General features: G+C 48.7%; 1 protein-coding gene and 1 long non-coding RNA gene across 14 annotated transcripts in view, besides 6 other annotated features; one reads left to right on the forward strand and one right to left on the reverse strand.

Moving 5' to 3' along the window:
• IGF2BP1 (insulin like growth factor 2 mRNA binding protein 1) overlaps positions 2659–23383 on the forward strand; it is a 59588-nt gene continuing 38863 nt past the window's right edge. For 4 of the 10 annotated variants that reach the window (NM_006546.4, XM_017024022.2, XM_047435140.1 and 1 more), the window contains exons 1-2: positions 3486–4021; positions 5210–5270. In NM_006546.4, the coding sequence (NP_006537.3) occupies positions 3847–4021; positions 5210–5270 (236 nt within the window). In that variant the 5' untranslated portion in view covers positions 3486–3846. Of the gene's footprint in view, positions 3123–3485; positions 4022–5209; positions 5271–20072; positions 20137–20568; positions 21058–23383 lie in introns of those variants that run through there. The other 6 variants (XM_005256955.4, XM_047435141.1, XM_011524201.3 and 3 more) reach the window with 5 other exon arrangements.
• Positions 3576–3645: a silencer, noted in NCBI's record as "silent region_8665". NCBI's record gives its function as "represses an Ori minimal core promoter by ATAC-STARR-seq in GM12878 lymphoblastoid cells {active_cell/tissue: GM12878}" and the evidence as "EXISTENCE:reporter gene assay evidence [ECO:0000049][PMID:35858748]".
• On the reverse strand, positions 5370–20588 carry LOC124904020 (uncharacterized). Of its 4 annotated transcripts, XR_007065831.1 has the most exons (4): positions 19646–19916; positions 19037–19127; positions 18544–18627; positions 5370–10907 (listed from the first exon to the last, which is right to left on the reverse strand). It is a non-coding gene; the product is annotated as an uncharacterized LOC124904020 (long non-coding RNA). The 4 variants fall into 4 exon arrangements; XR_007065833.1 differs by lacking the exons at positions 5370–10907; positions 19646–19916 and adding an exon at positions 13697–13785 and having other exon boundaries at positions 19037–19352; XR_007065832.1 differs by lacking the exons at positions 5370–10907; positions 19646–19916 and adding an exon at positions 18294–18380 and having other exon boundaries at positions 19037–19352.
• Positions 9862–10383: an enhancer, noted in NCBI's record as "H3K4me1 hESC enhancer chr17:47081123-47081644 (GRCh37/hg19 assembly coordinates)". NCBI's record gives its function as "activates a minimal SCP1, AML or CMV promoter by ChIP-STARR-seq in primed H9 embryonic stem cells {active_cell/tissue: H9 hESC(primed)}" and the evidence as "EXISTENCE:reporter gene assay evidence [ECO:0000049][PMID:30033119]".
• Positions 18368–18921: an enhancer, noted in NCBI's record as "H3K27ac-H3K4me1 hESC enhancer chr17:47089629-47090182 (GRCh37/hg19 assembly coordinates)". NCBI's record gives its function as "activates a minimal SCP1, AML or CMV promoter by ChIP-STARR-seq in naive and primed H9 embryonic stem cells {active_cell/tissue: H9 hESC(naive and primed)}" and the evidence as "EXISTENCE:reporter gene assay evidence [ECO:0000049][PMID:30033119]".
• Positions 18922–19477: an enhancer, noted in NCBI's record as "NANOG-H3K27ac-H3K4me1 hESC enhancer chr17:47090183-47090738 (GRCh37/hg19 assembly coordinates)". NCBI's record gives its function as "activates a minimal SCP1, AML or CMV promoter by ChIP-STARR-seq in naive H9 embryonic stem cells {active_cell/tissue: H9 hESC(naive)}" and the evidence as "EXISTENCE:reporter gene assay evidence [ECO:0000049][PMID:30033119]".
• Positions 20032–20587: an enhancer, noted in NCBI's record as "NANOG-H3K27ac-H3K4me1 hESC enhancer chr17:47091293-47091848 (GRCh37/hg19 assembly coordinates)". NCBI's record gives its function as "activates a minimal SCP1, AML or CMV promoter by ChIP-STARR-seq in naive H9 embryonic stem cells {active_cell/tissue: H9 hESC(naive)}" and the evidence as "EXISTENCE:reporter gene assay evidence [ECO:0000049][PMID:30033119]".
• Positions 21697–22250: an enhancer, noted in NCBI's record as "H3K27ac-H3K4me1 hESC enhancer chr17:47092958-47093511 (GRCh37/hg19 assembly coordinates)". NCBI's record gives its function as "activates a minimal SCP1, AML or CMV promoter by ChIP-STARR-seq in primed H9 embryonic stem cells {active_cell/tissue: H9 hESC(primed)}" and the evidence as "EXISTENCE:reporter gene assay evidence [ECO:0000049][PMID:30033119]".

Here is a 23383-nt window from a genome sequence, read left to right on the forward strand (position 1 = left end):
AAGTGTAACTCTGCACTAAAGATTTATCTGTCCCAAAGAAGCAATGTAGAAAAAAAATTGAAAATAAATACAATATTTGATAGTAATCTTTAATGTTAACAAAAACAAAGAAAAGAAAGATGAAAAGTTATGGTACCTCAAGTCTGCCCATTTTTATCCCTAACCTAGGAATGTCAGTCTAGATAAGAAATAACCCTTAATGTGAGTGCTGGGCTCATTCAAAAGGGAGAGATGAAACACCAATCAATGTGATTTAGTTCCCCCAACCCCAGCCTAAAATAGCCAGGTCACTAAGGCAAAACTGATTTGGGGGCTAAAAAGATCTGTATCTCACCCCTGTTGTCTCCTCTCTTGTATTCTTGCAGCCTTTGCAGCTTCTGACTATACACACATAAGCCTTTTTTTGGGGGGTGGAGAGGATTAGAATTCAGTAAAACAGCTGATTTTTTAAAAAGAACTAATCAGTTTCAATTTAGCAATTATTGGTAATTTTTAATTAAATATTTAAAAGGATTTAAAAATAGCAGATTGTTCAAGTGAAATTTATATATTCTCTTCTAACGTTATCTTAAATACATTAAAACTGATTTCAGCTAACATTTAGTTAGTATATTTTTACATGGAAAAAAATCAACCTGAAAGTGAACTGAATTCACTGATTATTTTTAAAAATGTTGTTTCCCATTGACTCTAGGATAGTAAAAAGTGGACTGCATTTTATAGGAGTTTAGAGGTCTGGATGGAGATTTTTATGGGGTGTAACTTGCTTTTGTTTTAGGCATACAGAGGCAGAGTAGTGGATATGTCCCCCAGGGAGACAATCTGAGAAGTGCTTTTATTAGCACCTAAAGATTCAAATTAAATGAAAGAAACAGCACTTAAAGTTTCTGGGAACTGGGATGATCTGCCTAGTTGCCCTCCTCCTTGTTCCCCAATATAACAGAAAAGATTTAAGGAGATTGGGGCTCCTCTTTAGGAAAAGGCCAAGAAATACAACAGCCTTTTTGAGACCATCTTTTAGCCCTTTCAAAAGTCTACACACATCACCAAGAAAAGTTCCCGGGCAACAGAGCCACACGTTCTGGCCAAGATAATTTTTTCCCCCCTGGACTCTAATTTTCATCAATTCTCTTTGCTGTGCTGTTTGTATTAGCTTGTTTTTCATTTAAAAAAATGTTTATTGAGTGCCTACTATGTGGCATGCCTGTTTCCTACTCATTGGTTTGTTTAAAAATAATGCTTGTGACCAACAGCTAAGTATTAAGAGTCAGATAAGGGGGGAGGGTCGGAGGTGTGTGTGTGGGGGTGAGACACAGATGTCTCCCACCTTCTTGGACAGAAAATATTCTCTTTCTACTCAACAACAAATAGCTCCTAGTACTTTAATTCTTGTTGTTCCATGGGAAAAAAAAATCACAAAAACAAAAATCCGACAAACACGTGGCTGGGTAGAACAAAACGCTCATTGGGGAGGGTGGGCTCTAAGGTGGTGGAGGATATAGAGAAACCGAGTTGGAAGCCCTCCCCCGCCCCTAAGTCCCAGCCCCATTTCTTTTCAGCGCGCCGGGAAAACGGGGAGGGGGACAAAGGTGCTGCGTGCTGTCTTTCAACTCCCGACTTTTTGAATGGCATACAATCGTCCGGCCGCAGAGCGGTGAGCCAAAGTCGGAGTCAGCTCAGACTCTGCAAACGAAAAATAATAACAATAAAAAAAATTCAAGGCATTCATATCGGTGTAGTCAACACGTGTTGCGGAGTCGGCCCGGGCCGCAGGCGACTGAGACAATGGGGTCGGGGACTGGGGAAGGGGAGTGACCCCCTTCCTCACCTGCCCTCCCAGCACGCGTGCCCCCGCTAGAATTATCCTCCCTCCCACAGAGTCCGGAGTAACACCCCAGTTTTCGCCCTGTTCAAGGGGATTCCAGAATTTCTGGGGGTCGACCCCTCCTTTTTCCCCGTTCCCTGGGCGAGGGGGTTCCAGGGTCTCCGGGCCGCGCTCTCGGCCACCCCTGGCGCCATCCCAGCCTCCGCCGCTAGAAACTCGTTGGCCTCGCTCGCCGCTCCGCCGTGGAGCCGGGGCTTGCCCGTGGACCGCGCGTCCCGCTCTCCGCCGCGTATCCGGGACTCCGAAACGCGCGGCGAGCAGCCCCCTCCCCCACCGCCCAGACGGGGTGCGACCGCCCACGTGTCGCCCCTTGCCCAGTCGGGTCCTTCCCTCGGGCTCCGGGAGCCGGAGGATCCGGAATGAGTTGGTCAAAGCCGAGGGAAGGGACCCAGGCGGATCCGCTTCCCCCTCCCCAGGAACGGCGGGAGGAGGAGGGGAGTGGCCGCCGCCCCCTCCCCTAAGCTCCCGCCCCTCGCTTCCCCGTGCGCGGAGCGGAAATTACCCCCTCCCCCCGCGGGTCTGACCTGGGGACGTGGGCGGGGCTTCCCGCTTAGCCCCCCGCCCTCCGTCCCTCTCCCGCCTTCCCGCCAGGATCGGAATCCTGCACCCCAAACAAAGTTCCGAGACCCGAACCTAGGGCCTAGAGAGCTGCCAGCAGTGTCCCGGGTGGTGCAGGCTCTGGAAACTCCACCTGTCTGTCCCCGACTCTGGGAGGGAAAAGGGGACCATTCAAATCTCCACCCGGTCACTCCCTCCCTAAGACCTCCCCCTTCAGTTCGCTCCGGTTAGCCCTAGCTATCACTCCTCTTCCTTGTCTCCCACCGTTCCTGTCTCCTGGAGTCATCTCCGGCCAGTTCCGCGTGTTCCCCTCAGGACCCCGAAACGTTATCATTTAACAGCCGGACCCCGGGTGCGAACCACCCTTTCTCCCGTGGGGATCTCAAAACATTATTTCCTGCGGCTTCCTCGTTCTCCACTGGGATACCCCGTTCCCAGCTTTCCAGTCCCGCGCTCGCAGGGTCCCCCGGTCCTGCATCCCCGGAGGCGGGGGAGTTTCGTGGGGCTGGCGTGGGGAAGGCGGAGACCCCCCCCATTTAAACATCTAGGGAAAAGGTTCCTTTCTTTTTAAATCACCAGCTCGTGCGACCCTCTCCTGAAGACCCCAGAGTCTTCGGCTTCTCTTTGTCTGTCTCGGCCGTCCCCCGCCTGTCAGTCGCTAGCAGTTAACCGGGGAGGGGTGAGCAACCCCGCCCCCCAAAACGAATGAAAAATAACCGTACATTTTACCCTTTAAGACATGTGAGATCTGGGCTGGACCATCCTCCCCCAGTTTGGGCTGGGGTAGGGGGATGGGTGGGGGCGGGGCGCTTCCCTAGGGGCCAGGTTCTTGCAAAGGGGGAAGGGGCCTGTAGAGCTTCAGGGACGCTGCCGCACCGCCCCAGTTTACCCCGGGGGTGAGTTGAGTTCCCCACCCTCAGGCGGGAGATTATCGGGTTTGGCCGGAGGGCCGAGGGGCCCTGTGGCGTCGGGGGTCTTTCCCTGCAGGGTGGGTGGGGGCTGTCACCACGTGGCTTCTCCTTTTTTTTTTTTTTTTTTTTTCCGCTCCATTTTTTTTCAAGTCGATTTTATTTAGAGGCGGCGCCAGGGCGGCCGCGGAGAAACGTGACACACCAGCCCTCTCGGAGGGGTTTCGGACCGAAGGGAAGAAGCTGCGCCGTGTCGTCCGTCTCCCTGCGCGCCGCGGGCACTTCTCCTGGGCTCTCCCCGAACTCTCCCGCGACCTCTGCGCGCCCTCAGGCCGCCTTCCCCGCCCTGGGCTCGGGACAACTTCTGGGGTGGGGTGCAAAGAAAGTTTGCGGCTCCTGCCGCCGGCCTCTCCGCCTCTTGGCCTAGGAGGCTCGCCGCCCGCGCCCGCTCGTTCGGCCTTGCCCGGGACCGCGTCCTGCCCCGAGACCGCCACCATGAACAAGCTTTACATCGGCAACCTCAACGAGAGCGTGACCCCCGCGGACTTGGAGAAAGTGTTTGCGGAGCACAAGATCTCCTACAGCGGCCAGTTCTTGGTCAAATCCGGCTACGCCTTCGTGGACTGCCCGGACGAGCACTGGGCGATGAAGGCCATCGAAACTTTCTCCGGTAAGAACACAGCCACCTCCCGGAAAAGCCACAACGAGAGCCCCGAACAACGGAGACCCGCACCTTCCGGTTCCTCTCCCGCCAACTCCTCTCTTCCCGGGCCTGCGGGGTTTGGCCTCCGTACCCACCCTCGACCTACCCCCTTCGATGCCCCCTCCCTCGCTCTGCGCCTCCCACCCCCGCGCAGAAACATTCGGGATTTCCTCATCCCTTTCTCCCAGCCTGAGATAAGGAGCTCTGGCTTCCCCCATCCTTCCTCCCCACCGACGGGGCGGGAGCCCCCACTGGCAGTAGTGGGGGGTTGAATTTAGGGACACGGGGATGACCCCTGGCTGGGCGTTATTTCCACGCCCAGCCCCTCCCTATCCGCCGGTGGACGCCCCCCCAGCTGGAAAACCCCGGCTCCCGTTCCTCAGTCTTAGGCCTTTCCAGGCGTGGAAGGGGTACCCGGACCGCCTGCGATCTGTCCGCTTCGCGTGGGGAATGCAGCCCTCCAGCAGGACTTGCAAGGAAGGGGGTCTTGCCTCCCGCCCAGGGCCTGGGGCTTGAGCCATTTTGATTTGAAAGTGGGGCGTGAGCGGGGTGGCGCGGCGGCGGCGGCGCCGGGTCGCCATGCTGCTTCCCGAGACGCCGAGGCTGGGCCGAGAGGCGCGCGCGGTGGCAGTGAGGGACCCTCCCCGCCAGGCCCCGCTCCGCTCCCCCAGGTCCACCCCTTCCCAAACCAGCCCCGACAGGTGACCGCTCCGTGGCCCAAAGCCCGTCTTCCTGGCCAACAGAGAAAAATAAAGTTTCATTCTGCACACTGCCTCCCGCCCCGCGCCCCACTTTCTGAGGAACGGGGAGCCCTTTCTTTCCTGGCTCCTTCCCACATCTGGGAGCTGTGTAGGCAGCGCACCCACACAAATGGCCTCGCACCTTTCCCAAATCGGGATTCCAGAGCGATCCACTCAACAAGCCTCAGTGATTTAATAAAGCAAAAATTAAAAAATGAATAATAACGAATTTACAGACTCCACCATTCCTAGAGCAACCTTTTTCCCATCTGGATGCGGAAGCCACTGCCTGGATTCCTAGGAAGATCTCGAATCCCAGTAACTCCTGAATTATCCTAGTGTCTTTTCCCCTTCCTCTTCCCACCCCCAACCCCTGTTCAAGCTCTCATGGTAATTTTTTTTTTTTAATCTTTAGGGAAAGTAGAATTACAAGGAAAACGCTTAGAGATTGAACATTCGGTGCCCAAAAAACAAAGGTAGGAAAGAGCTCTTTTCGGGGGGGGTGGGGGGGCCGCGGGGGTGTGCTGTGAAGCTGTGTTCAGGGGTCCATAGCGTCTCCAGTGGAAGAAACCCATTACTGGTCTTTCCCACCCCCAACTCCGGATGTTGGGGGCAGGGAGGGAAGATTGGCCAAGATCTTGTAATGGGTGGTTTACAGCTTGTAAAAAAAAAATAAATAAGTTGGGGCTGGGGTAGGCTAAAAGATGTTACTTGCAGAATTAAAGGGGAAAGAAAATCAATAGGGGAGAAACCTTGTGGAGTTTGTTTGTTCAACTCGTGGGGCCGTTTTTTGTGGGGGAACCTTAAAATCTTTGAAGAGTTCAGACTCATGGCGATTTCTGCAACTTCGTAGCAGGCCTCATTTTCTGTTTTTCCCACTCTTTCCACACCATAATTCTTAAGTGGATTGCCCTTCTCCCGAAGCGATGTGGAATGAGTTTCCCGGCCCCCAAAGAATCCCCTTATGCTTGTACTTTATTTATATTTCTACAACAGGCAAAGACTTTTTATTTTCCATGGACCCCCCACCCCCAATCCCTCATATCTCACATCATCCCTCTCCCCAGCTGGATTTTCCAAAGAATATGCCTTGGCTGTACTATCCTTTTCGAGCCCCCCTACCCCCACTCCTTCAGCCCATTGTTACCAGGGGACCATCTGGGGTGAGAGCTTTGTGTTGAGGCTGTGAGCTGGGGCTCTTTGGAGGGTCTAGAACTCCGTGGATGAATGGTGTGTGTGTGTGTGTGTGTGTGTGTGTGTGTGTGTGTGTTCGTGTGTGTTCCAATACCCTCTATCCTCTCTCTTCAGCAAAATGGGGTACCTCCATCATACTTACCGAGAATTCATGGTGGATTTCAAATCTTGCATTGAACTCTGAAACCTTTCCTTGAACTCTGGCTGGGAAGTATAAGGGCAGAGTCTTTCTACTTTCTCAAATCAGACTTTAAACATGTTGACAGTGTAGAGTTTGCTCTCATGTCCCAAGCTGGAAAGCAGCCCCCAGTAAATCTTTGATCTTCCTCACCCCCCATTTCAGCTGAAAACTTGGTACATTTCAGGATAGTCTCTGGCCTTTTCCGGGTAGATGGGAGATGATGACTGCTTTTTCTGGGGGACCATTAAGAGGGCCTAGAAAGTTTAATGTGAGATAAAAATCTGTTCAGTTGCTTAGCTTGATATTTAAGTAACTTGGAACTATTGTGTCTATAGATCAATATGGCTTGTTACTATGTTTATAGAGCTTGCGATTTAACTTCACATGTTTGAAATACCGTGTTATTGGAAAGGCAATTAGAGTTAGGAGTAAAGAGGCAATAAAATGGGAAGGAAGAAAAGAAGTCTTATTTGTTATTTTGAAACATTTTCTGGAGATGTGTCTAAGGAACATACACTGACACCAGCAGGTTTATTGAAAAGGATATGGATATTTGAACTGAAAGCTGAGTGTTGATGAAAAATATCCAGAATAAGTGGAATTCTAAAATATGTGGATTTTTTCTTTTGCTCTTGAGGATGGTTTAAATTTTAGGGAATAAAGTGAAAAGCAAGAGAAATAGCAAAACGTGATGAAATGGAACTCAAAACATTTATATTTTAATTTTCATGGTGCCCTGTATTTATGAATCTTTTTCCCCAAGCCATCTGCTTGCTTTTAAGTCATTTCTAGGCCCTTTTTCCCTCCAAAATGCATTACTGAGGGCTCTTTTTTGAGTTGGAATGGAGAGGGGGTTTGTGAGAAGACTGGGTAAAAAAAAAAAATCTGTCCACACCCATATTAAATTAGATCTTTTATGTGTTCTCCCCTTCCTGAAATAATTTTTTTAGCCCAAACATTGAGTCAGTTGTGTTTTCTTTGCTTTTTATTTTGGTTGGTGGTGAGAAGGCACTTCATTTTTCTAGAATGAATCAATTTTTGAAGTCTCAAGATTTAAAAAAGAAAGTTTGTTTTCATTAAGTCAGTTTGCTCTATCATTTTGTGTCTTTGAGGAAGTATGTTGTGGTATGTGTCTTTAGTCTGTGTCTGAAAAGTATTTCGTCAGTTAGGTTTGTTACTGACTTTCCATCTCATGGATGTATAGAACAGGAACTAGTTAATTATGACTAATATATTCTAAGCAAAATGAACAACTATACAAATAATATTTTGTGTATATATACTCTTGTATTTTCCTTATGAACTCTTCTTGAGGCATTCAGTTCCAAATGAACTATGATTTCAATTTCTAAAATAATTCATAAAAACCCAACAACTAAATGTTCCTGGTTGTTTTGTTTTGTTTTTTAAGAGGGGGAAATCAAACAAAAGATATGCTGTAGCAATACCTCTTAATGTATTTTGTTCTTAGTTTGAATTTATTTGATACATATAATTTGTACCTTTTTAAGAACTCAAGAGGCCGAACACTATGCATTTCAACTGAAAACAGCAGTTAGCTTGAATTTTTAAAATGAGGTGATACTAATTTCTTAGAGATCACCATCTCAAACCCCCTTAGTGTTGGAATTTGGTTAACAATTTGTGCTTTTTTGTTGAGAATTTGTATATGTTCACTGCCAGATACTGAGACAAAAGAGAAAAACCAAATGCATTTAAAAACAGTTGTGGAAAGGGCTTGTATATGTTTTATTCTGAGAGACTTAGGAGTAGTTGAGGTAAAGGGGGTACCATTTTAGTGTGACTTGATTACTTTGAGACATGATTTGCTTTTTAAGGGAATTAAACCTTTGTTACACTTGCCACTGTGGTGTGCCTTTTTCTAGAGGAATGTGACCTAAAGATAGCATATTCACTGTCAACTGGTGTCATCAAAATAAAAGGTGTTACTGTTAATTAAGAAAAAAATGAAAGAGATGCACTGACTCATTTTTTTTAAAGGTGAAATGTGTTCACATTAAAGAATTCTAAGTTTGGTGATTTCTTTAGGCAGATTAATGGTCCTTTTCCTCTATGTTGACTAAAAATGAGGTGGGCTAACTCCCTTAAGTACCTATTAAACAAAATTAGTTTTATAAATCGTTCATAAAATTGAGAACTCCCAAAAGAAAGTGTCCAAATTTTACAGTTTAATTTTTTGAAGTTAACAGCTTTAAAAATCTGTGAAGGGATGTCTTATAAATGGCAAAAAATATTTTAAATATATTTTAACAATGATTTGTTGAGGCTCTGAAGAAATCACTTGGATCACTAAATGTTTTCAAAACAACCTAAAAATTGTCTTCAGAAATGGATTTGCACTTAAGGAAAAAAGAAAACCTACCTTGTACTTTGGGGCTGAAAATGAATGAAGAGGGGTTAAAAAGGGAATGAAAACTACTAGAGCGGGAGGGTTTTCAGGCACTTTTACTTTAATGGTTGTAATTATGAATTAGTATCCAAGTCAAAAAGAAAGTTTTTAACTCATACGAGGTAAAAGATAACATGTGACTACTATTCAACATGGAAGTTTAAAGTAGAAACAATTGATTACTCTTTTAAAAAGGTTTTCTTATTAATATTAGGTTAGAATTTTTTTTTTTTTTTTGCTTTACATAAGTGAAAAAAATGGTTGAATGTTAAGTTTTTGTGCACTGTTTGGAGGAAAGGTGGAAACTGGGGTACATTCTTTCCCTATTTTAATTTCCACCTAAAAATTAAACTTTGCAAATTCATAAATTAGTTTCCTTCACTGCTGGTAGAAATCCTTAACTGTTCTCATTTGGGTGGTCAGTATTTCAAGATGAGAGTTTTGTAAGGGCAGTGGCAACTGACTGTCCCTTAGAAGAATTGTAGGTTTCTAGAACCCCTTATTTTCTGACCCAAATTAAAAAGATGAAATTTTACCATAATGGTTTCTCAGATGGAGAACTTTTTAGTAAAAAGGGGGAAGAACTGCAAGTCCCATCACTAATTTATTCAAAGTATTGTTAATTGTTGAAAAGGTAAAGTTTTAATGGCACAGCTTTTGGTGGAAAAAAACATAATTATGTTTCAGAGATTAAATACATGACATTAGCAATTGGAAGAACCTTGATTCAAAGGTTCTGAGCTTCTAATCTTTTAAAATTACCTTAATATGTATCATTTTAATCTATGTGTGTGGGTACTTTTAAGGCTTACTTTTTAAGAGTGTATTTATACTATACTTTAATGTGTAGCAGCCAGTTGACAAAGATACTATTGAGGTAGTCTACTGAGTATACAATTTTAAAACATTTTAAAATTCAGATCTGGTTTAGTTGAGTGAGAAGTGGGGAACAGCAAGTGCTATTTGTTGAAGTTTAAAGGTTTTGTGAAGAGTTATTTAGTGGTTAGATCTGTTGATTTTTGTGTGTGGGGTGGTAGTGGTGGTGATGGGGTTGTTAGAATAAGTTTATGAACCAAAGGCATTTGAAGAACGGACATTTTCCCAGCTGTTAGAATTTAAAATAAGTGTGGTTCGTTCCCTATCCTCTTAAAAGATTCTTGAAATGTGGCTAATGTTTTCCAGAAAGTGCAGCTTAGAATTTGGGATGGGAGTGTTAGGGAGAGAAAAGGGGAGGAAAAAAGCAGCAGGGGGAGACTGGAGAAATCAGACGAGTTAGTCCCGGCTTGGAAATTCCAGACGGGGAGGGGGGAGGGAGAGAGGGAGGGAGGGGAGATACGGGGTTGGGTGGATTTCCCGCTTCCCTTTTAAAGGGGAGCGGCTGGAGTCTCACAGTGTTACCCACGGGAGAGGGGTCGGAGACGGGTGGTAGACTCAGCTCAGGGCAAGGCTATATTTGCTTTTGGAGTTGCCGGCCTTCCCTTCCCCTTTCAAAAAAGAGAGAGAGTAGAGAGAGAGAAAGTGGCGGCGGCGCTGCAGGCTCTTCCTGGAGCGCTCGCCCCGGCCCGGCGGCCCTAACCTTCCCCGCCCGCCCCCGCGCCAGTCCCAGCCCGGCAATCTCGTCTCGCTCTGAGGTGGGGCCGCCCGCCTGCCTTCTCTTAACAAGCCCCTGACAGAGAACATCCGCTGGCCTGGGTCTCCGAGGAGGACTTCCCCTCTCAGATCCCTGAGACCCCAGGAGATCCCAGGCCGCTTGTGGTGCGCCTTAGTCCTGGGAACCCCAGATCGCAAACCTCGCAGCAGATACCCCACGAGAGGGTTCCCCCTCACCGGCTGCGGGCTGCGGGCTGCAGACCCTTTCCAGCACCTGGGCTGCCTCAGGAGCTCTCCATTCTAAGGCAAAAAGCCAGTGGGTAAATGTGAAGTGAAAAGAGGCAAGAAGAGAGGAAGAGTAGGTAAAGGGAAAATAGGATGAGACAGTTGGAGAGAAAATGGAAGTGCAAGTAGCTGTTCCTCTCTCCCAGTAGCTGGGGTCTTGGCCTGAGAAATAGAACCTTAAAGAGTTAAGTGTCAATTTAAGTAACCTGCAATCTTTACAAAATGAGCTGTTTGTGTCTGTCCACAGGTCCTGAAGGCTGACCGAAACAATAACAGAGGCAGTAATAGTAGTCAGAGGTTCTATCCATGGATTTTGTTTATCTTGTAAAAGAGAGACAACAGGCCTTCCAGTTGTCCAGGGTCTCAGCCAGTCTTCGACTCCATGTTAGTGTAAAACTTCTGCACCCCATCCATTTCCACCTTTCCTCTCCTCCCCTATACCTTTTTAAATGCCTGTCAAAACAAAAAGCAGAAGGAAAGGTCTCTCAAACCTGTACTCAAGAAAGTGTATGCCCATTTGGTTACCGATAGTTTGGTTAAAAATGATCCTGTAAGATACCACCTGACACACACCATCGCAAGGGCAAGGAGGCAATGCCAGCAGGAAGCTACGTAGTCCCCAGGTAGTGACTTCATTCTACTAGGAGAACTTGGATGGCCCTTCAGATTTTGATCAGAGGAGACTATGTACTTATTACTGGATAGAAGGGGGGTCATCCTACTATTAAAATTTATTGCAGAGCCTGCTTTGTAAGACCTGCTTACTACCTTGCAGCACAGTAGGTTTGCAATAATACAACAGGCTGGAACAAACTTTTGCTCTAACCATAGTTGACTGACAAAATATATGTTGATTACAGGTAAGTCACAGAAAAGTAGGTTTGGACCTCATACTTTTAATACAGTTGGAAAAAACCTGATTGCAACACACTGAAATGTAACTGTGTGCAGAACAAACACCATCAGAAATGCAGTCCTTTTGCATTTTGGGAAATCCAGGTTCCCAGGAGCATGGCTGGTCGTAAGCAAACTGCTTTTGACTGAAATAGAGAGCAAACAGCTCGATGATTAAGAGAAGTTTTGAGTGGATTGTGCAGATATTTTCAAGACCCCTTAGGACAAGTCTGGTTATTAGACAAGTGGCATTTTGGTGGCTGGAAGGCATGTAAGGGATGGTGTCTGATATGGGATGGCTGGAAATTTTGCTTATAGTTTAGAGGAGGGTTGTGGAGAAAAATCCCATAATAGAGGAGGCAGGAGAAGAGGGGAAGCTCTACATTTTCTCTTTCCCTTTCTACCATGTCTGGTTAGTGGATTCTAGTCAATCCTCTCTACATTTCCTTATGAAAAGAAGGTTAAGGAGAACTTCAAATTTTTTTTTTTTCATTTTGAGTTAATTTTGGTTAAAAACTCAATCACTCATTCAGGACAGGCACGGTGGCTCACATCTGCAATCCTAGCACTTCTGGAGGCCGAATAGGGCAGATTACATGAGGCCAGGAGTTCAAGACCAGCTTGGCCGACATGGTGAAACCCTGCCTGTACTAAAAATACAAAAATTAGCCAGGTGTGGTGGTGCATGCCTGTAGTCCCAGCTACTCGGGAGGCTGAGGCCAGAGAATTGCTTAAATCTGAGAGGTGGAGGTTGCAGTGAGCCGAGATCGCACCACTGCACTCCAGCTTGGGTAACAGCGAGACTGTGTCTCAAACAAAAACAAAAACCAACTCAATCACTCATTTGGATGTTTTGGCCACTTGAAATGGAAAATGTTAAGTCTGAGTGAAATTTGATTGGATAGTTTAGTTTAGTTGATTGGATATAGTTAGGATCTTTAAGGGGAGAAATCAGAGAATTCAGAAATATGTGTGTAATGGTTGTTTGTGTGGTCTGACCTCTTTGGCAAAGAGGAACAAGGAGGAAAGGAATCATTCAAAATTCTTAAGGCTCCAGGAGGGAAGAAGTGCTGTTAGGTCAGAGTCTTAATGACCTACCCTAGGTCTCTCACTCATCCTTTACTGGGGTCTGGAGGAAAGGTCTTCCTCCCAGGAGAATTCAGTGTTTAAAAGCTTGAGCTCAATTTCCGTAACTGTAAAGAAGTGGTCCTAATAGTAGTACACAATAGCTCTTATTGTTATTATTTTGTTGTAGATATTGACTTCTGTCCCTCCTGCCCTAGCCATTGTTTGTCCTCCTTTGAAGCTTTACAGTTGTATCCTACCCTGCCCCATATAGCTGTGGTTAGCTCCATGAGTATTAGAACTGATCAAGTGTACAGATGCCTGAAAATGTGTCCATGAGAGGTTGTCTTTGAACTGTGTGTGTGTCAGCTTGGGCTATATATCTAAGGCACTAGGAACAGTGATGGCTAGGCATGTTGAAGGGGATCTGTGCGTAGGGTGCTTTGGTAACTCTACCTGTATGTTGAAAGGAAAAGCCACCTTTTAGTGGAGAGAGATGAAGCTCACCAGGGCAACCCCACAGAGCCCCTAGATTATAGATTCCCCCAGTACATTCTCTGAGACAGAGGCTTGGAGAGATGAGGCGAGCATGGTGGATAATGCTATTAATTGTTCTTTAGGGGAAACAGGCCATTTATTCTGTTATCGTTTATGCCCTGAACTTGGTCCAGGTTCCTAGCTGAAATTTCACACTTTACGGCTACTGTCAAAGGTGTACATGTAGAGTAGGGACATTGGTGAGAGGGGAACTAACTCTGCATATAAGGTAGGTGTTGTAAGAATTCAGGATGAAGGGGACTGTAAGAATCCTCCTGGGGGTCTGAGGAAGGAAGAAATGAGAGTGACCTCCCCCATCTGCTGGGATGGGTATGTTCATTTTCATGTCCTGCTCTTGGTAAGCTAACAAAGTAGGCATTCAGGAACTGGGGATCCCTAGATACCCAGGGGGTGACTGCACACATTGTTCCCTACTTCTTCTGCTTCTGTAGTGTCCTCACATTCTCCCCCTGGTTCCCTGGTCTGGAACCAGTTCCCAGAGATGCACTCAGAACCCACCTTTATGCCCACTTCTTCATTTCAGCCCTCTGCTCAAAGGCTGCGTGCCATAATGCAGGCACATGGGTGGGTGCATACACATACATACACACACGTCCATAGCCCCAGCCCTCGGAATAAGGGTTGAACCTTCTTACTGGGATGGGGAGGAAAAGGGCTTCCCATCCGGATGTGGTTTTCAGTCTTTTAACAGGCTTGTGACTTTAATCATTTACTATAAAGGGTTTTACAATTAGTTTATGCAGAATGATGTATTGCCTCTTTCTGGAGTGGCATTTGGGATTGCTTGGGGCTCGTCAACTTTCCATTCGGGACTCTGAGGAAGAGAAAATGAGGGAGACAGGAACTGAAATGGGAGCTGTTGGGTGGAGTAAACTTGTTGAGGATGTCTATTCAAAGTTAGAAATATTTATTCTACTTCCTCCTTAAGGTCTCTAAGTTGCTTGGGAGGAGAACTCCAACTGTAATAGAGACCAGTTGCTTTGGCAGGATTTGGAGATGAAGTTCTAAATTAAAGGGCAGGCCAGGCGCAGTGGCTCACGCCTGTAATCCCAGCACTTTGGGAGGTTGAAGTGGGTGGATCACCTGAGATCAGGAGTTTGAGACCAGCCTGACCAACATGGTGAAACCCCGTCTCTACTAAAAATACAAAAATTAGCTAGGCATGGTGGCTGGCACCTGTAATCCCAGCTACTTGGGAGGCTGAGGCAGGAGAATTGCTTGAACCCAGGAGGCAGAGGTTACAGTGAGCAGAGATTGTGCCATTGCAGTCCAGCCTGGGTGACAAGAGTGAAATTCCATCTCAAAAAAAAAAAAAAAAGTAAATAAATTGAAGGGCAAAGATAATTCTTCACAGAGAGATATGGCTGTTGGTGGCTGCAGCCAGTGTATTCCAAACAAGGACTAGATGTACTAGGATGTTGGCTGAGGAAGCAGCTAGATTCAGAAGAATAATCTTGTTAAGGGTCTTCCTACAACTTATTTAAACTTATTTAAAATCTAGCTGACTGAGGTTATCTATAGGGTTTTCTTCCTCTCTATATTTATTACCATTTGGTTAAGATATGCTGCTGCTGTTGGCTTTTTAGAATAGAGTGGAGTGATTGCTGTCCAGAATGAGCTCTGGGTGTAGGCAGGAGGTGGAACAGAATGATCTTCACAAACCTCTAATATTTCTGTGAGATAATCTTTGTTCCACTCTTCTACCCTTTCCCTCTTGCTGGCCATCTTGAATGAGTAGTTTCTTTTAAACTTCTAACTAAAAGAGGAATGCTGTCTGTCTAGGCCCAAACTCCTTTGCTCTCTTCTCTTAAAAGCCCCATGGTTAGCAACTGTAGCCTGGGAGTGTGTGTGGGGTCCTTGCCTCAGTCACTGGCTGTTTGAAAAATAACTTAAAAAATATATATTTACAATGAAATGCCATGGGAGAAAACATTTAACAAGATGCTGCAGACGTCTGGGATAGCTTGCATATTGCTGCAAAGATTGGTACTTCTGATGTATTCATTCATGCATGCAGGCATGCATTCATCCAGTTATTTTTATCTAGTAAGAGTCTACTATTGCATGATATGCCCTTTGCTAGGTATTAGAAATACAATGAGGAACAAGTGAAAGACCCTGATCTTACAGTGCAGATGGAAGGAAATACAATTTTTTTTTGTTTCTGTTTTTTTTGAGAGGGAGTCTTGCTCTGTTGCCCAGGCCGGAGTGCTGTGGTGCCATCTTGGCTCACTGCAGCCTCTGCCTCCCGGGTTCAAGCGATTCTCCTGCCTCAGCCTCCCCGAGTAGCTGGGACTATAGGTGTGCGCCAGCACCCCTGGCTAATTTTTGTATTTTTAGTGGAGATGGGGGTTTCACCATGTTGGCCAGGCTGGTCTGAAGCACCTGACTTCAGGTGATCTGCCCACCTCAACCCCCAACAAGGTGCTGGGATTACAGGCGTGAGCCACCGTGCCCTGCTGGAAATATAATTTAACAGATATTTCAGATATTTTCTCTTTGGAAACTTAGGTTTTTCTCTTTATCCTTGGTATTTTTTTTAAAAAAATTATTTTTAGGCTGGGCGCAGTGGCTCATGCCTGTAATCCCAGCACTTTGGGAGGCCAAGGCGGGCAGATCACTTCAGGTCAGGAGTTCAAGACCAGCCTGGCCAACATTTGAAACCCTGTCTCTAATAATAATACAAAAATTAGCCGAGCGTGGTAGTGCATGCCTGTAATCCCAGCAACTCTGGAGGCTGAGGCAGGAGAATCTCTTGAACCTGGGAGGCAGAGGTTGCAGTGAGCTGAGATCGTCCCATTGCACTCCAGCCTGGGCAACAAGAGCGAAACTCCATCTTAAAAAAAAAAATTTAATCGTAAAATATGCAAAAAGCTAAAATTTACCATCTTAACCATTTTAAGTATATAGTTTTGTGACATAAACATACCTGGGCGCGGTTGCTCACACCTGTAATCCCAGCACTTTGGGAGGCCGAGGTGGGTGGATCACCTGAGGTCAGGAGTTCGAGACCAGCCTGGCCAACATGGTGAAACCCTGTCTCTACTAAAAATACAAAAATTAGTCGGGCGTGGTGGCGTGCGCCTGTAATCCTAGCTACTCGGGAGTCTGAGGCAGGAGAATTGCTTGAACCCAGGAGGCGGAGGTTGCAGTGAGCCGAGATTGCGCCACTGCACTCCAGCCTGGGTGAAAAGGAGCAAAACTCGATTTCAAACAAAACAAAACACAAAAAACAAAAAACATTCACATTGTTGTGCAACCATCACCTTCATCTATCGCTAGAACTCTTCATCTTGCAAAATTGAAACTCTGTAGCCATTAAATAATAACTTACCCATTCCTCCTTCCCTCTGGTCATTTCCAGTAAGTAGTAGTGCTGTGATTCAAAAAATGGCCATTTAAAAACTATTGCCAGTTTTACTTTTTCCCACATGGTGGTCATCTTTTTTTTTTTTTTTTTTTTTTTGAGACAGTCTTGCTCTGTCGCCCAGGCTGGAGTGCAGGGGCACGATCTTGGCTCACTGCAAGCTCCGCCTCCCGGGTTCACGTCATTCTCCTGCCTCAGCCTCCCCGAGAAGCTGGGACTACAGGCGCCCGCCACCACGCCCGGCTACTTTTTGTATTTTTAGTAGAGACGGGGTTTCACTGTGTCAGCCAGGATGGTCACGATCTCCTGACCTCGTGATCTGCCCGCCTTGGCCTCCCAAAGTGCAGTCACCTCTTCATCCTAAAGAAAATGGAAGCCTTTGTGTGTCCCCTTTCCTGCATTAAATACTGATTATTAATTGAGTTTTTATTTAGCATTATTGGGTCTTTTCAGGTGGGGAAGTGAGACATAGAGATTGAGAGGGCTCCCAAAAGACAGAGGTACAAGGCCAAGTCTCTGCCCTCCAGCATTTTCACTTTAAATCCAGGAAAAACTGAGAGTACAGAGTCCAGGAGTCCACGCACTAAAATGGGAGGCACACAAACTCAGGAACGAAAATAGAGGAGGGAGACTTTAGAGCTAAGCTGGGTTTTGGAGGCAAGGCAGAAAAAATAGAGGAATGGGTTAAGAAGAGCCTCGTGGACCAGCCTGGCTAACATTGAAACCCCGTCTCTACTAAAAATACAAAAACTAGCCAGGCATGGTGGCGCGCACCTGTAATCCCAGCTTCTCGGGGAGGCTAAGGCAGGAGAATCGCTTGAACCCGGGAGGTGGAGGTTGCAGTGAGCCGAGATTGTGCCACTGCACTCCAGCCTGGGCAACAGAGTGAGACTCTGTCTCAAAAAAAAAAAAAAAAAAAAAAAAAAAAAACAAACCCTAAAAAAACAAAAACAGCTTTGTGGATGGACAGGGAGCTGTTTTCGGGCAGACCATTCACCTAGAAGAGGGAGGCATTCAGTGAGGATTCACAGAAATGAGGCTCTCAGTTGGTAGGGCAGCCACTCCTGTTTATTTCTCTTCTTGAGCATCTTTGCTTCTGAGCACTGTGAGGTGATAAGGCTCAAAAGATGAGTTCTTTCTACAATTATAGGAGCATTTATTGAGTATCTGCTCAGCTCACACTGTTACTTCACCGAATTTCCCAAAGAACTCTGAAGGTATTATCATCTTCATCCTACAGAAGAATCTGAACTAAGGTCACACCTTCAATAAGTAGGAGTGCTGGCATTTCAAACCCAGGCATTTCTATTTCCAAAGTTGAGCTCTCTTAGAAGGTGTGAACTCTGGAGGTTGAGGCAGGAAGGTTGCGTGAGCTCACGTGTTTCACATTATAATGAGCTATGATGGTGCCATTGCACTCCAGCCTGGGTGACAGAATGAGACCCTGTTCCAAAAAAAAAAAAACGTTGGGAACAGGTGATCCTCCAATACTCAGGTTGAGGTTTTCTTGAGCTTTTTTTGCAGGGGCTGGGGAGTGGGGCGTAAGCTTAGCAGATAAAATTTCTCCTTGCTCTGAGCCTCCCCAGGCATTTCATACCTACCTTGCATTGTATTTTCCTATCGCCGTTGAGATTTTCAGATTATCTTGAGTGGTTGAAGAAAATTGATTTTTTTTTTTTTTTTTTTGGGAGATAGAGTCTTGCTTTGTCACCCAGGCTGTAGTGCAGTGGTGCAATCTCGGCTCACTACATACAACCTCCGCCTCCTGGGTTCAAGTGATTCTCCTGCCTTAGCCTCCTGAGTAGATACAGGCATGTGCCACCACACCTGGCAAATTTTTGTACTTTTAGTAGAGAAGGGGTTTGCCATGTTGGCCAGGCTGGTCTCGAACTCCTGACCTCAGGCGATCCGCCCTCCTTTGCCTCCCAAAGTGCTGGAATTACAGGCATGAGCCACCGTGCCCGGCCAGTTGAAGAAAATTGAGATGGATGGGTCCAAATTTTCTCCCCTTGTCTGGGCAGCTAAGATGAGAAATGGGAATTCTGTTGGAATGAAATAATACACTTGAGAGGAAGCTGAACAAAGTGGAAGAAAGATCTGAGTGGGGTTAGAACTTACGTGTCAGCCTCAGCCTGTCCTTTTGCAGATGTGTAAGGTGTGGGATCTGGGGTCACTAACTCTTTTCCTGGGACTCTGTTTCCTTACCTGAATCCTCCCCATCTCCAGAAACTTCATAAAATAAGCTGGATGAGTGTTTTGAATTCTAGGAGTCTCCATCCTTTGACGCTTCTGGAAGGTACCAGGGCTGGAGCTTTAGGCTGATCCACCCCCTCTTTGTTTGGGTTCAAGCCACGGGAAAATGGGAGCTTGAGGGGAAGGTCAGGGATTGAGATGCTTCCCTTTCCCTCCTCCTCCTCCCTCCTCCCAGCAGGAAGGGACAAAGAGTTGACCTTTGTTACAGGTCTACAGAATCATAATTCATAGTTCATACATGTTAGTTTTTCTTTCTTTCTTTACACAGGGTCTCCCTCTGTCGCCCAGGGTGGAGTGTAGTGGCATGATCGCAACTCACTGCAGCTTTGACTTTACCAGCTCAAGCGAGAGCCTGAGCCCCCACAAAGTATTGGGTTTACAGGCACCAGCCACCGCGCCTGGCTTCCATACATGTTAGTTTCTAAAATATCAGGAACCCAGTTACGTTTTTTTCCTGGCAAGCAGGAACAGGCTGCACAGTGTAGTGACATTTGCTGGCCAGTGTCACCTTGACCTCTCTGAGCCCGTTTTCTGATCTGCAGAACGGAAGTAGCAATATTCTTAGTCTCCCCTGGTTGTTGAGAGGCTCAACTCAGCCTCTTGTGGTGGTTCCAGGTTCATAGTGTGGGCAAAAAGAAGTACTTTGTGAACTCTAAAGCACTATGCAAAGGTGAGTTATTAACAAGATCATTAATTGATGACACCCCAAAAGGGCTGAAAGGTCATTCTCACCCCCAAACAAATGTCCTACTCTGCATGGGGGCGAGTATGACTTCTATTGTGACTTTGCTATGGAGCTTCCCAGAAGGCCTTGGGGACTAGCCCGGGAGGAGAGCCTTCTTTCTCTGCGGGTTCCGAAGGCTCCTAGTTCCGTGCCCCCACCCTGCTCCCAGGCCTTAGTTCCTGGCCTCACAGTGGGAGGCCTCCCGCCCCGTCCCGCCTCCTCCCGCGGCCCAGCCAAGGTCTCTAAGGAATGCCGCCTCCCGGGCCATTTTCTCCCCTCCAGCCTCCGCGGCCCCACTTCCAGCCTCTCCCTGGCTTCCCGGTTCCCTACCCCCAACCGGTTGCCACTTAAATGCTTGCAGGCCTGGTGCAGGCGGGAAGCCCCCTTCCCCCACAGGACCACCTCAGTCACAGCCCTGACCACAGGGAGGTCGGGTCTGGATTTACTAAAGGACCCCAGAGCGGGAGACTGCCCCTCGCCGGCTGCCTGGCTTCGCCATGGGGTCGGGTTTCGACCGGCCGGTGGCTCTGCAGAGAGACAAAGGGCAAAGTCCTGGGCCCCACCCCCACCCCGCAGCCCCTGGCGCGGGTCCCCTCCCCCTCGGGGCCCAGGGCGGGTAGCCAAGGGCCGCGGGTCCCCGCCGGACAGGTTTGGAGCGAGTCGGGGCGCCCAAGGGGGCTTTGGCGGTAGAACATTCGAGACCGTGCGGAGCCCTGTAGCGGAGGGGCTGGGGGGCTGCTCTGTCCCCTTCCTTGCGCGCTGCGGCCTCAGCCCACCCAGAGGCCGGGGTGGGAGGGCGAGTGCTCAGCTTCCCGGGTTAGGTGAGAGGGGCTGGGGAGGGGGCGACCGTGGGCACAGGCGGGGACAGCCCGCCCCTCAGCTGCGCCGTCTCAGTTCTCAATTGCCCGTTCACGAGGGCGCCCCTCCCCCGCCTCAGCTGCCGCCGCCCTTCCCAGGCACCGCACTATCCCCGTTAGTGGTTCTCCCCGCGGTCCCCGTCCCCCTCAGTCTCCGCCTCAGTCTCCCCCTCAGTCCCCGTCCCCATCTGTCTCCCCCTCAGTCTCAGCCCCCCAGTCGCCGTCCCCCTCTGTCTCCCCCTCAGTCTCAGCCCCCCAGTCGCCGTCCCCCTCAGTGGCCCGCTCTGCTGCGCTTTCCCCTGCTCCACCGCGAGGGGCCGTGTTCACCGCCTAGGTTCTCTTGGCCGTCCCCTCCTCCTGGCCAAGGATAGGCGAGAACCATCTTGGAAGGCACTCAGTCCTCCCAGACAGGATCCTTGGTGGTAGAACATTCTAGACCGTGCGGAGCCCTGGGGAGGAAGACCTCCACAGAGAGGGCACTTGAGGGGGGGAGGAGGGCCACGTTGGGGCCCTTGTCAGGGGAGAGACTGGCTGAGGAAGCGCCCGCCAGGAAGAAGCCAGCTGCAGCGCCTGTTTCCCACCGCAGGTCATGGTTGGCAGCTAGGGGGAGACGCGGATCCCTGAGGGCTACTGCGCAGCGGCCGCCACTTATGGACACGCAGACGCTTGCGGGGCTGGTGCCCAGATGTTTGCCCATCGTCATCAGGGGGCACTAAGGACCCCGAGGAGCACGGGGATGTCTGCCGGGTCCTTCTCATGGTGCGGTGGGAAGCTGCCGAAGACAGATTGCTTTGGAGGCTGGTCTGGTTTCCTCTCCTGGCTCCTGAGAGGGCCACCTCGGCTGTTCCCTCTGGAGGACAGAGCCCGACTCTGTCTGTTTTCAAGGTACCTCTCATGACGCCTTCCACTGGGCACCAGCTCCATCCTCGGCCGGGCCTCTGAAACCCCGAGTGCCTGAGCGTGTGTCCTGTCGCCCAGGCTGGAGTGCAGTGGCGTGATCTCGGCTCAATGCAACCTCAGCCTCCCGAGTAGCTGGGATTACAGGCGTGTGCCACAACACCCGGCTAATTTTTGTATTTTTAGTAGAGACGGGGTTTCACCATGTTGGCCAGGCTGGTCTCGAACTTCTGACTTCAGATGATCCTCCCGCTTCTGCTTCCCAAAGTGCTGGGATTATAGGCGTGAACCACTTTGCCCGGCCGTGACCGTATGGCTTTTAAGCTTTCTGGAGAGAGGCTGGCATCTCCACCGGGGGCGAGTGCTAAACCAGCATCTCCAGAGAGGCGGGGCCGGGCCAGAGATGGTCTTCCTGCCCCCCACCTTTCCCTCGGTCGGAGCTTAGTAGCCTTCCCGACCCCCGGGGGAAGATTCCGAAACTTCCCTTCCCACTGCCAGTCTGAGAAGGATCGTGAGCAATGTCCCTGAGGGGGACCTCCCCATCTCAGATTGCAGGAGGGAGGCTCAGTTGCACAGCTCCCGTTGGGTCACCTCTTTTCTATTTGTCCCCGTACTGTAGGTTTGTCCTGATGGTTTCTTCTCCACTTCCTCAGTCTACCCCAGGGACCCCCCATTCTCTGTGCTTCCACATGACCACTTCTCCCCTTTGGGAGCCACTCAAGGTCGGGGGAGAGGGTGGCAGTTGGAGACCAGGCTGATGTGGAATTTGTCTGGAAAGAGCTGGACTGTCCCAGAGCTTCTGTTTTGGCCTCCTTGGGGGCTGCTCAGATGGGCTTTCTTGTCAAACTATTTCCGAGATAGGCGAATTGAGCAAAGTATTCATGCTGAGGTTGGCTTGACCCCACCGCCACTTAGCACCTTCCACAAGTTGCTTCCTTCCTCCCCCAGAGCAAGATGACATTTTGCATGGTAGGGATTTTTGGTGAGCACCCTTTCACCCCACTAACAAATCTCCCTGACAGCCATCCAGCCGTATGATAGGGCACTTAGCTCTTCTGCAAGTGAAATCCCGTGCCCAAATTAGAGCCGCATGCAGTAAAAGCCAGTTGGCACGCACTTAACCATACAGAATATGGGCACTTTTCCTGCTTCTGACGTCGGGGCTGTTCAGGCTTCTGCTGTATTAACACTTGTCTTCAGAAAGAAAGCAGTGGAGTTTGGTGCAGTGAGCACAAGCAGCCTACTAGTCCTGCCTCCAAGTTGGCAAGTCTGTTTCCTTCTCTGAGCCTCAGTTTCTCCATCTGTGAAATGAGGGTGACTGTTCAGCATCCTCTCAGGCTTCAGAGGCTTACCCCTTTCCTTTCTGCCTCAATGTATGAATCTGATGTTTTTCAACTGGAACTTCTTGGTGACAGATTAAGGTGTGTGTATTGTGTGTGTGCGTGCGCACGTGTGTGTGTGTGTGTGGGATCATATAAGCTGAGTGATTCCCTTCTCTCCCCTAAATATGGGTAGAAGAGCCCTCCAGAGGAGTGGGAAGAAGGGTTCAGCCCAGAGTAGCTCTTGGTGACCTGCTTTTCCTTCCTACTTTTCCCCCAACAAGTAGTATAGGAAGGAGGCAGTGCGTGTATGCCACATACATTAAAAGACCTTGCTCACAGGGTGACAGTTGCATTCCAGTGGTGTCCTCACCTTCCAGTCCCCTCACACTCTGGCTTTCTTCGTGGTGGTGGCATCTGCTCTGCCCAGTCCCACATCTCCCAGTAGGTCAATGTTTTCTGGCCCCTACCCCTGCCAGCCTGCCACTCGACAGCCCGCCAGCCCGCCCGCCCGCCCCCCTGTCCTCCTGCCCCCCCGCCTGTCCTCCCGCCTGTCTGGCTGCCCTGCCTCTGGATCAGCCTGGCACAGAGCCCTGGGCTTTCGGCCAGCTCCTCCTCCCCTCCCCGCCCCCGCCCCCTTTCTCAGCTACTGCCATCCTGAAGCGTGCCAGGTCCGCCCCCTTCAGAAGTTTTCTTGGACAATTTTTTTTTTTCACCGCCTCTCCACCCTGTAGGGATAAGGAGGCGGGGTGGGGAGGAAGGACTGAGTCAGTGGTGATTTTCTGGAAAAGGCAGAGGTTGGCACCTTAGGGCAACTTCCAGATGGGAGCGACAACTGGGAGAGGGGCCAGCTTTGGGAGGGGGCTTCTACTCTGGTGTCAGCCACATGGAACCCTCTTGTTGAAGAGTCAGCAGAATCACCTACTTCTGAAGGGGTCCAGTGAGCAGCTCTCCCTCACTCCCTGGTTAGCTTTGTCCTCTTATCCCAAACCAAA

The sequence above is a fragment of the Homo sapiens genome, chromosome 17 (genome assembly GCF_000001405.40).
Source record: "Homo sapiens chromosome 17, GRCh38.p14 Primary Assembly".
Classification (NCBI taxonomy): Eukaryota; Metazoa; Chordata; class Mammalia; order Primates; family Hominidae; genus Homo; species Homo sapiens.